At 38.7% G+C, this 13,099-nt stretch overlaps 1 long non-coding RNA gene across 1 annotated transcript in view; it reads right to left on the bottom strand.

Moving 5' to 3' along the window:
• LOC105378003 (uncharacterized) overlaps positions 1-13,099 on the bottom strand; it is a 29,316-nt gene that overhangs the window by 11,932 nt on the left and 4,285 nt on the right. The window lies entirely within an intron of this gene.

A 13,099-nucleotide genomic window follows, 5' to 3' on the forward strand; every position in this document is an offset into this window, starting at 1 on the left:
CTTCTTCAAGGAACTGGGGAATAGTAGATTGGCAGAAAGGTCCTAGGTGAATGGATGTATACCCTGACAGGCTGGCTTGTGATTATGCCTATAATTGTATTCTTGCCCTCCATGGCTGTCATCTCTGGAGTCCTGTTATCTATTGTTTGCATTATTATATAACTCTTCGGTATATTAAAATTTTGCCTTTTCAACTAAATTTTCAGTCCTGAGTGTCAGCGGCAGAACCTATGAAACTCTTTTGTATATCTCTCATATATTAGGTGTTCAATAAACATTTGTTGAGTCAAGCAGAAGCGCATGCAACTGACAACATATAAAAATGTTCCTACACACTCAGGGAATCAAGGTATTCAAATTCTTTTTATGTTCTGGCTAAAAGCATAAATGAAGGAATTATTTTTGTTTTAAGCCTCATTAACTTTCTTGATTTAGTAATATATCTGAAGGTTCTTAATGAAGAAGAAAATGTATGTTAAGATGTCAATCAGAATACAAAATTACATATACTATATAATTTCAACTAGTATCAGGAAAAGGTTAGAAATACTTATCTCTGGGTGATTAAATGATTTCTTTCCTCTGCTTTTGGCTTTTCTGGATTTTTGACATTTTTGGCCCTCAGAATATTTACTTTTGTAATCAGAAAAATATTTAAGAAAAAAAATTTGTAGTCCTTGTATGTGTGTGCATATATATGTGTATGTGAGAGAGAGAAAGAATGAGATTTTTCTCTTTAAAGTAAAATAAGAGAACAACAGTAACAGGCTCTAAATAAAGTTGGGTTGTGATGAATCGTTATTTTACTGAAACATGTAGAGTAACCTGATATAATAAAAGTCATTTTATTTAACATTTTATTAACCAGATCTCTAGCTCCATATTTATCTCTATTCTGTGTAACATATCTTCTCAATCTCTCACTGTTTTTTTTTTTTTTTTTTTAGATCTCTGTCACTTAGGCTGAAGTGCATGGCACAATCTCTGCTCACTGCAACCTCCACTTCCCAGGCTCAAAGGATTCTATAGCCTCAGCCTCCTGAGTAGCTGGGACCACAGGCATGGGCCACCAATGCCTGGCTAATTTTTATGTTTTTGTAGAGACTGGGTTTCGCCGGGTTGCCTAGACTGGTTTCAAACTTCTGAGCTCAAGGCAATCTGTCCGCCTCTGCTTCCCAAAGTGCTTGGATTACAGGCATGAGCTACTGCACCCAACTTCTCAATCTCTATTTTAATATACAGCAAGCTCCAACTTATATGATAAATGAAGATATGTTCTAGTGAGTCAAATATCAGAGTTAAAGGAGATCATAGCTATTTCCAATGGATAGAATGCTAGAAAAAATATTTTTATTGTTCATATTCATATAAATGAGCAATCACTCAGAAAAATTAAACATCTGTATATAAATACACATCACTATTTAGCCTCTTCCTCCTCTCCCCTTCGAAAGCATAGTAAGACATTTGAGGAATTATAAAGTGATCAAGCTGAAAAATAATGGCAACAAAGCCAATCGGAGCACTCAACTCCAACCATGATGGGTTTGAGGGAAAAGAGCTAACTATAACCCAGTCTCTGCCCGGAAGGCTCTTCAGTCTAGTGGAGAGACAGGTACATGGAAATAGTTACACATGTGCTCATTGCCCTAGCCAAGAGTGGAACTTTTCAGCCAAGAACCATCATCCGGCCTCCTTTTCTATTTGTGCACAGTCACTTGTATTTGAAATCCTCTTTGGCCTTCAGGAGCTCTCATGGATGAGTGATACATATTTAATAAGTACTTTGAAAGCTCTTAATCTCCATCCAGTTTTATGTAAAGGTCCAGTCCTTGGAGTGGAGGTTAGGCTTGAATCCTAGCCCTGCCTCTTATGGCCCTCAGAGTTTGGTTAAGTTGCAGAACCTGTTTAAGCCTGTGGTGTCATCTGTAAGGGGCTGCAGCAGAGATCAGTGGAGATTACACAGGAAGGCCCTGGCACAGACCAGGCCAAGGCTTGGTACTACAGAAGTGTGGTTGTCAGGGACTTGGTCACAACTCAAGGCTGAAGAAAATATTTTTTAATTTTCTATAACTCAATTTCTGGCCCTAGGCCCCCATTTCACTGGGGCATCCCTAGGTTATGCTGATCTTTCTGTATTTTTACACATGACTAAAAGGATGGTGGTGGTTCCCACATGTCACTGCCCTTGTCTGCTTGGCCCTCTTGGCTCTGGAGGCTCTCTGAGCTTCCTCTGCCACCCACGGCTGTGGGGATCTTCTGGGAGGCAACCCAGGTCCCTCTTACAGATAAACTGCATAACCATACCTCTCCAGCATCTCATGGGAGACCCAACTAGGTGATGGGTTAGAAAGTTTGGTGCCGGTTCCCAGGTCTCTCATGCCCTCTAGAAGCTTCCTTTCTTTTTTTTCCCCTCCTGTATTCACCTGCCAAATATGTTGGTTGTTTCCACAAATAACCCACCCTTCTTAGTGTCTACGAAAATACTCAGTGTTTTTCTAAGTGATTAGGCTTTTGTAAAGCAAAAGCCAGGAACACTTGTAAGCCAGTACTGTTTTCCCCTCAGCCACATAAATCCCTAGAGGCAACAGTCTTATTATCTACTTCCTAAAAAAGAAAACGAAAAGAGAAATGGAAAAATATAAGAGAACCACAAAAACAAATTAATGTCTTAAACGATTATGTAGCCACAGTAGATTTGGTAAAAAGCATCAGAAGAGAAATAATAATTAACATTCCACATAGTTCTGCCGTTGTGGTTTTTAAAAATAGGTCTACAATTCTTTGATATTCTTACTTTCTAGAGGTGGAACTTAATTTCCCTCCCCTCAAGTATACGGTGGCCTTAATGACCAGCATGTAATGAATAGAAAATTGCAGAAATGATGAAATGTCACTGAAGTGAGGTTATGAAAAGACGGAGGCTTCTGTCTTGGGTGGTCTTGGCTAGCTCTCTCTCACACTGTCTCTCTTTCTCTCTTTCTCTCTCTCTCTCTCATACTCTCTCTTCCTTGGATTATTTGCTCTGGGGGAAGCCAGCTGCCATGTTTCAAGCTGGCCTGTGGAGAAGCCCACTGGAGAGGAACAGAGGGAGGCCTCTGGCCAACAGCTTCTGAGGAACTGAGGTCTGTCAACAACTACATGAGTGAGTTTGGAAGTGGATTCTTCAGCCCCAGTTGAGATATGAGATGATCGCAGCCCTATTTGACAAAAATCTCACAAGAGACCACCCAGCTACATACATACATAAAACGAGTTGGAACCAAAGGTGGCAATCTAAGACAGACACAATTTTAATGGATGAAATTAAATTACCAGTAGAAAATAAGTTATTTCCATGTCAGTTGGTCAGAAGAGGCCATTTTCATGGCAACATACTGAAAAATTATAATAATGAAGATAAGTTTAAATAGAAGAAAGGACAGAGTGAACAATTTTACCAGTCTATAAATGGGTTAAGTGAGATGCCTGCATTACCCTGCCCAAAATCAATAGAAACATATGCAAAATATGTGATGCCCCACCCATTAAAACTGTATCTGTCTGCTGTTAGCATTATAACCCTGCTTTGGAGTTCCAAAATTTGCTTTTCTTTCCACTCTGATATTTATAATCAAAGACTTAATTGCTGTAACTTCGAAGCAATTTAAACAATGCTTTGTTAGAAAAATTACCCTTAAAAGTGTGATTTACAGAGAGCATACTGGGTTAAGCATTCACAATATCTCTGTTGTCATAGCAACTTGCAGTGTGAGTTTAACCCAAAGTGGTAAGGTAACTAGAAAAATGTTGGTGATATTGGAATACAGAAAGACACATATACTACAACTGACATGCTGTAGCCTTGACATGGAAATTCTAATGAGCATTTTAAAAAGCAAAAGTCATTTTGTTTTATCTTGAAAATGCAACACCTTAACTAAACCAAATACAGATCTAAAACTAAACCAGAAATTACTGAAAATTTAGATACAGTTATTTGTATCATCCAAATAAGAAAAGTTTGGTTTCATGCTTCTAGAAGTTAAGCATGAAAAATAATTTCCAAAGGTTATGTTTGATCCCTACTTGATGATTTCTCTTTCTGTATCAGGAATGTACTTAAAGAAACAAATCTGGAGCTATAGTTCTATAAAAGATTATAAGGGAAAAAAGAAATGACATAAATACTTTGATAAAATAAAATAATGTTCTGCATCCCTGTTCTCTAAAATTTCAGAACTTACGCCATATGCCTACGTGGTTAAATACACAAAATAACGAAAGGACTCAGAACCTTAACAGAGTCCATCGAAAAGATTTTATGTGCATTTCTAGTTCAGGTTTTATTACTAAAGGTGCCATTTAGAAGCTCCTTCTAAAGATATGCCCTGCAGACACCTTAAAATAACACTCAACAACAAAAATATTATCTTGGTGATAATTTTACTGTCCTTTTCATAGGGGGTATATGGTAATAACAGGGTAAGCCTGGACAAAGCAATTAAGAATAAGAAGTGTTAATGCTCAGTATTGTTTATGTATGTCACTGTAATTGAAGGGGATCAGAATATGCTACTCCAAAATATGTGCTTTGGCATAAAGATTATTTTGAGCTGAAAACGTGTGAGATTCAACAGATGTAGAAGGAAGCTTTCTCAGAGCCTCCCTGATCTGACTAAAAGCAGAAACTCCTCAATAATAAGGACTGCCATAGAGCCCTTCTCCCAGGGAAGGTTTATGGCCATGAAGAAGATGGAAAGATGACACTGAGATGGATCTGCACAAACAAACCTTGCTTAGATAGCTTTTATCTTCTGTAAGTTTCCTCCATGTCATTACCATTCCTCAGTTTTCAGCCCCTAGAAGTCTAAAAACCCCTTTCCTTTGCCTTGACATGCCTCCACAATGTATGACTCTTTGTTAAATAGGTATATAAGCTCTCAGGCCTATCTGTTTCTTGAGATTTTCATGTGTTTTCTAGGAAGGTCCCTGTGTCGCAAAAAAAATCCAATAGAACTTATATGCCTTTTATCCTGTTAATCTGTCTTTTGTCAATCTAATTTGCAGGGCTCCAGTCAATGAACCTGAGAGTAGAGGAAAAATATGTTCCTCCCTTACATCATTGAAAAATCCATGCCAAAATTTTCCCCTTTCTGGAGCATTTGATAGTGAGGACTGGTATCAAGATAAGTCAGTTTTGAGTTCAGAATCTGGGGGTTACAGTACAGAAGCGGAGGTTTTCTGGGTGAAACAGAGAAATAGAGAACAATAGACGAAGGAAGAGAGATTGGGAAAAGCAGAGACCCAATTTGTTTCCCTACCCATTCTCCACTGGACTGTGCTTTGGGCCTAGCTCTAGGGGACTGTGGGAGAGTCAGCTTCTGAAAGATTAGAAAAATATCTGTCTTGTTTGTTTTTCAGGCCTTTCAATTCCTGAAATAACAAGAAGAGATGTGTAGCTGTGAAGGGAGGTTCAACCTCTCCTGGTCTTGAATCCCTTACTCAACTTCCCCAGGCCCTGGGTATATGGTTTCTCCTTAGGGCAGACCTATAAGGAAGTCAAAATGGGTATTTCCTGCATTGTCTCTCCCCACACCTTCTTCTCGGGAAGATCTTTAGAACACACCAATGCGTACTCCCATTTATTTAGAATTCAAATACAATGTCCTTCCAGTTCAATCATGTGTAAAATGGAGGTTTCCTGACTGCTTTCATTGGTGAGCATCAACAACACCAACAGGAAGAACAGCAGAGGCCACATCAGCCACAAGCCACCCTGTCATCTAATGAATGCCAATTAAGCGCCAAACACTACCCTAGGCATTTTATAAACATTAATCTGACAAATTTCTCACAATGATCCTATGGAATAGGCATTAGTACTCTCATTTGTTGGATGAGAGATCCAAGTCTGACAAAGAAAACAAGCAGCAACACAGCTGTTCTGTTTTCTGAATTTATCTTTTAACTTGATTCTCTTATCATCTATATGGAATTGAAAGCTTCTTGAGAACTTATTCTATTTTGAACTGCTTCATAGTACCTAGCACAGTAATTTATTTGGGGGTTTTCTTTACTTAATTATTTTAATTGACAATAAAACACTGTATATGTTTATGGTGTGCAACATGATGTTTTAATACATGTATACATTGAGGAATGGCTAAATCAAGTTATTTAATATATGCAATACTTCATATACTTATATTTTTTGTGGTACAGACACTTAAAAACTACTGTCTTAGCAATTTTCAAATATACAATATATTGTTATTAACTGTAGTCACCATGATATACAATAAATCTCTTGAGAAATTTCTCATTCCAAAATGGAAGCATAGAAGCTAGCTGGCACCACTCTCCCAACAGAAAACCAAAAACAAATATACAGCCCCAAGATTATCACCAGCAATAATATCCAAAACTAAAATATGAGAATGAGACAGTTCCTGAGGCCACAAAGAAATGAAGAAACTCAGAATCTCTTAGTAGACAGTAAGAGAATCAGACTTCCATGTCTGTGACATCCTTCCCCCAATCTGCCTAGCACCAAGTGCACAGAAAATTTTTCCCTGACTCATGGTTTCTCAAAAAGTGAGGTGAAGATGGACAACTGGCTTCCCCATCATCTTGGGTTTCCTGGCAGAAGATCTGTCCTTGCCTCAGCCCCAGGAATCAACAGGAGTGCCTGAAGGGAGAAATAGCCCTGAGGACAGCCAAAAACAAAGAGGGGAGGCAGGACTACCATCCTAGGCCTGGAAACTGCTCTGTAATTCAGCCAAAGGAGATGCCAAATCAGAGTGGCTATTCAGCAGCACCATGCTATAGGATTGTCCTGCAGGTTTCCTGGGCATGACACCCTAGCCAGTCTTCCCACTCTATCAGGATATTCCCTTTGGGACATTTACTAGAACCTAGACAACCTGTGCTTAAAGCACCATCTAGTGCTCAAAGGGAGGCAGTGACCTGGTCGGGGTTGGGAGGAAAGAGAAAATCAACTGGTAAATTATAAAGAAAGAGCACTCCCTTATTTACTGCAGCACTATTCACAACATACAAAATATTGAAATTAACCTGTGTCTATCAGTGGATGAATAAAGAAAATTTGGCTGCATATACACAATGGAATATTATTTAGTCGTAAAAAAGAATGAAGTCCTGTCATTTGCAGCAACATGGATAGACTTAGAGGTCATTATTTTAAGTGAAATAAGCCAAGCACAGAAAGACAAATATTGCATGTTCTCACTCATATTTGGGAGCTAAAACAGTGGGTCTCATGAAGGTAAAGAGTAGACTGGTGCTTACCAGAACCTGAGAAGGATAAGGGGAAGATGAAGAGAAGTTATTAATGGATACAGATATACAGCTTGATAGAAGAAATAAGACCTAATGTTTGACAGATAAGTAGGGTAGCTCTAGTTTATAATAATCCATTATATATTTCAACATAGCTAGAAGAGAATAATTTGAATGTTTCTAGAATAAAGAAAGACAAATATTTAAGATGATGTGTATCCCAATTACACTGATTTGATCTGTACAAATTATATGAATGTATTAAATTGTAACATGTACCCCCAAGACATGAGCATGTATTATGCAAAAATTTAAAAAATTGGCCATCACGAAAAAAGAGTTAGTGAATTTGAAGACAAGTGAACGAAAGTCATCTAAATTGAAGCACAGAAAAGGTAAATATTTTTTAAAATAAACAGAACCTGATTTACTTGTGGAATAATATCAAGCATTTAACATATATGTAACTGGAGCCCCAGAAAGAAAGGAGAGAAAAAAAAAAAGTCAAGCAAAAAATTACATTTGAAGAAACATGGGCCAAAATTTTTCTATATTTAAGCAAAAACAGATTTGGGAAGCTTAGTGAATTCCAAATAGGATAAAAACAAATAAAACCACAACTGGTAACATTATAAGAAAACTTAAAGAAAAAAAAATGAAGTGAAAACTCTTAAAAGCAGCCAGAGTTTCAAAAGATTCATCCCATAAAGGGATCAATCATAATAATTATGGTTTTCTTTTCTTTAGAAAGAGTAGAATCCAGATGACAATGGAACATCTATTCCTGGAAAAATTCTTTATGGTGGATTAGCTACTGGTTCAATTTAATGATATTTCCACTAAAACTATTTAAGAAACATCACATGCAAGTTACTTAAGAAGCAATATAACTTGGCCGGGTTCAGTGGCTCACACCAGTAATCCCAGTACTTTGGGAGGCTGAGGAGGGTGGATCACATGAGGTCAAGAATTTAAGACCAGTCTGGCCAACATGATGAAACCCCATCTCTACCAAAACATTCAAAACTTAGCCAGGCATGGTGGTGTGTAATTATAGTCTCAGCTACTTGGGAAGCTGAGGCACAAGAATCACTTGAACCCAGGAGGTGGAGGTTGCAGTGAGCTGAGATTCTGCCACTGCACTCCAGCGTAGGTGACAGAAGGAGACCTTGTCTCAAAAAAAAAAAAAAAAAAAAAAAAAGGAGCAATGCAACTTACTGGAAAACACCACACCATAAAATTATGATAAGATATAAATATTTTCAACAGAAAAATGAGACTCAAAGATGTTCTGCTAAGTCCGTTCTCATGCTGCTAAAAAAGACATACCCGATGCTGGGCTATTTACAAGAGAAAGAGGTTTAATGGACTTACAGTTCCACATGGCTGGGGAGACCTCACAATCATGGCAGAAGGCAAGGAGGAGCAAGTCACATCTTATATGAATAGCAGTAGGCAAAGAGAGAGAGACTGTGCAGGGAAACTCCCCCTTATAAAACCATCAGATCTCATGAGACCCATTCACTATCACGAGAACAGCACAGGAAAGACCTGTCCACATGATTCAATCACCTCCCACCGGGTTCCTCCCACAACACATGGGAATTCAAGATGAGATTTGGGTGAGGACACAGCCAAACCTTATCAGATGATTAATGGGTACAAAAAAATAGAAAGAATGAATAAGACCTACTATTTGATAGCACAATAGGGTGACAATCATAAATAACTTAACTGTATATTTTTAAATAGCTTAAAGAATGTAATTGGATTGTTTTAACGCGAAGGATAAATGCTTAACAGAATGGATACCCCATTCTCCGTGATGTGCTTATTTCACATTGCGTGCCTGTCTCAAAACATCTTATTTACCTCATAAATATATACACCTACTATATATCCACAAAATTTTGTTAAGAATTTAAAAATAAGAGAAATTAAATACACAACTATAATTCAAGACATAATGCAAAAACAAAAATCCAACAAAAAAATTGTTGTTTTTTGTTTGTTTTTGAGATGGAGTCTCACTCTGTCGCCCAGGCTGGAGTGCAGTGGAGCAGTCTCGGCTCACTGCAACCTCTGCCTCCCAGGTTCAAGCGATTCTTCTGCCTCAGCCTCCCAAGTGCTGGGATTGCAGGCATGTACCACCACGCCCAGCTAATTTTTTTGTGTTTTTAATAGAGACAGGGTTTCACCATGTTGGCCAGGCTGGTCTTGAACTGCTGACCTCAGGTGATCCACCTGTCTCAGCCTCCCAAAGTGCTGGGATTACAGGCATGAGCCACAGTGCCTGGCCAAAAATATCATCAAGTTTAAAGGAGCACGAGACCGTCTCTAGTTATAGAGATTAAGGAAATCTTCAGAGCATTTGAGATGGACCTTGAAGGATGAGTAGAATTTTCTTAGGGAAGAGCATGGAGCAGACAGTGTGCACAGAGGCAGAAAAGTAGAAAACCATGGAGTGGAAGAGGGCATAATCCAATTATTCAGTTCATCTCTATCACCAGTGACTACCAGAGGAGTTGTCAGAAATATCTTGGGTAGGCAAATTGAGGCATCCTGTGAGGGGATGTATAGGTCATCCCAAAGATTCAGAATGTTATTCTGTAGGTTATGGGAAGTCATTTTCCACCTGCCAGGGGTCTGGCAGAATCAAGCTACATTCTTGGGGAAGATGAATGTGGCAGATGGGCTAGCAGCAAGAGGGACCTCAATCCAGAGTCACATGTGAAAACACACTGCCTTCCTGGAGGATCACAGCATGACAGAGATTAAACATGGATGATACTGCAATAGAAGGCAGAGTTAATTCCTAGGAAGATCCTGCTAAGGAACTCCATAAGTGTCTAAAGTTATATACTGAACGCCCCCAGGGTTTGGGTTGATTTGCATATAAACACAAGTGGCATCTGGTAATCAAAGGGCTTGACCCTCAGTGAAAATCAAAGCACATAAAAACCACCAAAATATAAGCTAGAATAAAGTAGATGCTATAGAGGAATTTTCCATCTTCCAGGGCACGTCCTGGTACCACTTGGCCAACAGTAGCTGAACAGGGCAGGCTAGGAGCAGCTGGAGCTTAGACATCAACACAACTGCTGGGACAGAGACATATGGAACAGACAAACTCAGCTTCAGGTGGAAGAGAAAGTCCAGTCTGGTAAAAAGAATATAGACTCTACAAAGTCCAACCACCCACTAAAGGAAAAAAATCCAGATAAGCCATCTCACTCTCAGGGAATCCAACACACAGTCACACTGTGCCCTACCTTTAGCCAGAGCAGGAATAGGAGAATCCAGAAATAGCCAATAATCAAATATATAAGCAAAGAGGCAGGCCACATGGGCACCAGCACAGTCTGTTGTCACACAGAAGAGCTCTTTCCATAGGGCTTGCATTCAGAAACAAGTCACCAATTTAAGAAAAGGGCAGCAGGTGACCCTAGAGAGGTCCCTATATTATAGAGACTCTCCTCTAGCAGAGCCTACTCAGGTTAACAGCAGGCTCTGAGGCACAGAGAACAAGACAGAAAACCAACTACCCAAAATTTTTATGTTGGCACAGTCTCTCCTCCAAACTGTGAGCTGTGGTTGATGCTCTGAGTAGCCAAAGGAGTGTTATACCATTCATTTTTAAATGGGTTTATTGTGTTGTCCTGATTGAAAACACCCATATTCCAGTTCAAGCTAGTAAATACAAGAAGACAAATTTAAGATCCAAAAAGAAGGAGAAGAGGGAGCTGGAGGAAGAAAAAACAACAAGCAAGCAAGCAAAGAAAAAAAAAGGCACTATTTGTCCATAGGTTTCTGAATGAACCCAGAAAGTCAGTCATTCAACAAAAAGCTGAGAGTCACACTTCTGAATATTACATATCTCCCTATTGTTTTATTCTCAGAGATGTGTCAGTGTAAGGCTAAAGAAAACAGATCTGTCATTTATCCTTAAAATAGGGAGGAAAAGTGGAAACATTTCACAGGTAAAAATGTATCTGAAAGGAAATACAAACATGAAACTTCAGACTCGATCCTTTTGATGTGATTAGTACAATGCATTTGAGTAGAGAAACATTTATGAAATTTGTATGCATATCTATGGATGCTTTAAAAATTCAAAAAAGAATTATGAGGGACGTGTTTGGAAGAATGCATGCTATGAAATTCTCCATTTCATGAAAGGAGCAACTGAATTAGTGAACTAATGAGTATTAGGCTTGAGGTTATAAATCACAAGTGATCAATCCAGTCATACACTCCAGTTCCAGAACTGTAAGTAAATACTTGGCTTTTTTTTTTTTTTTAATGCTTCTGGGAAAGAATTTTGTCAACAATGTGATAACACAGAAATGTGATATTCTGTACTTCTGATTCTCCGATGAGTATGATAATGTACTGAGAAAGAGAAAAGGTGAAATTAGAAACATGAAATCCCAGAAATATAAAACAATATTCAGTTGAACTCAGATAACTCGATTCTCCACAGTATTTGAAGACCTCTTAGTAGAAAATAAATTAAAGTTTTCAACTTTGGCAGAGAGATATTTTCAACTACAATAATTGTTTAAATTTAAAAAACTAAAATTATCTTTTGCATTTAATTAACTGCATTTTTGGTTGGAGCAACAGAACCTAAATCGGGCTATCTTAAGCAAAAGGCAGTGTAATGGAAAGATTGAGAGCTCATGGAATTGAAGCAAGGCTGGAGAAAACAGCCTTATTTGGAAAACAAGAAGTAACCAAGGATTCCTGCTAGGCTACAGGAATTTCAGACCAGATTACGGAACAGTATCAGCCCAAGGCACAGATGACCATCGCTACTACTGAGATGAATGAATCTATTCCATCTCTGGATTCTTGAGTCATCTTTCAAGGTAGAAGTTCCAGAGAGAGTACCTAACTGTCAAACTGAGTCACATGCAATTCCCTAGCTGTGATGTGCAGGGACATAGACCCTCCTCCTCCTCAGTGCATTCCAAGGTCCTTCTGCTTCAGTCAGCAGTTTGCAGGAGCTCACTGTTTTGTGGAACTATCTAAAACTTACAAACTGAGGTAGCTGATCCCCTGGTGGTACTGACTGAGGCCAATGTCTTGTTCTCAAGCAACTTAATCAAGCATGCAAGGATGAGAAATTAAACAAAAAAAATTGCAAGCAGATTTGCAGATTTTTAGGAGTAATTATCCTTTAGTCTTCAGACCTGTGTAATCTGTCTAGTTTGGTCCCAGAGACCCTAATATCAATAATCTCTATTGAAAATCTATTTGAGTCAGAACATTTATATTAGCATGCTGACCCTACTGATAATTATGCAAATAATGCCCATTTTATCTCTGTGAAGAGATTTTGTCTTTTGTGGAGCTACTTGGCCTCTGCCACCCCTGGATCCTCTTGTTAACACTGAAATCAGGTAGCCCATTTCAACTATGTGGTCTCCTACCAGAATCCCCAGTCTTCCAAAAATGGCCCATCCCAGAAATGGCATTTCCTTTACCAATGTATGTCCGAAGATGTCGGTGAAGGGAGTGGATTTGAGGCTGCTTGGGGGGTTATACGTAGGATATAGTCAGACAAGATGCTCACAAAACATCACTTGGTATTTCTCATGGCTTGAAGTTTTGAATACATTCCTTCTTATCATCACTGGGCCCAAAATGCTGTGGTCCAGAGTTGAGACCAGGTTGGGCTTAACCAGCCAAACAAATTGTTGGAACCACATACAGCTGCTCAGTCAGGCTTGACATAGCCATTCATTATCAAATATGATGCACTGTATATAATTGCATGTGCTATACGTTTAAATGACTGGCAGCACAGTAGGTT

This window comes from Homo sapiens, chromosome 6, assembly GCF_000001405.40.
Source record: "Homo sapiens chromosome 6, GRCh38.p14 Primary Assembly".
In the NCBI taxonomy this organism is placed as follows: domain Eukaryota; kingdom Metazoa; phylum Chordata; class Mammalia; order Primates; family Hominidae; genus Homo; species Homo sapiens.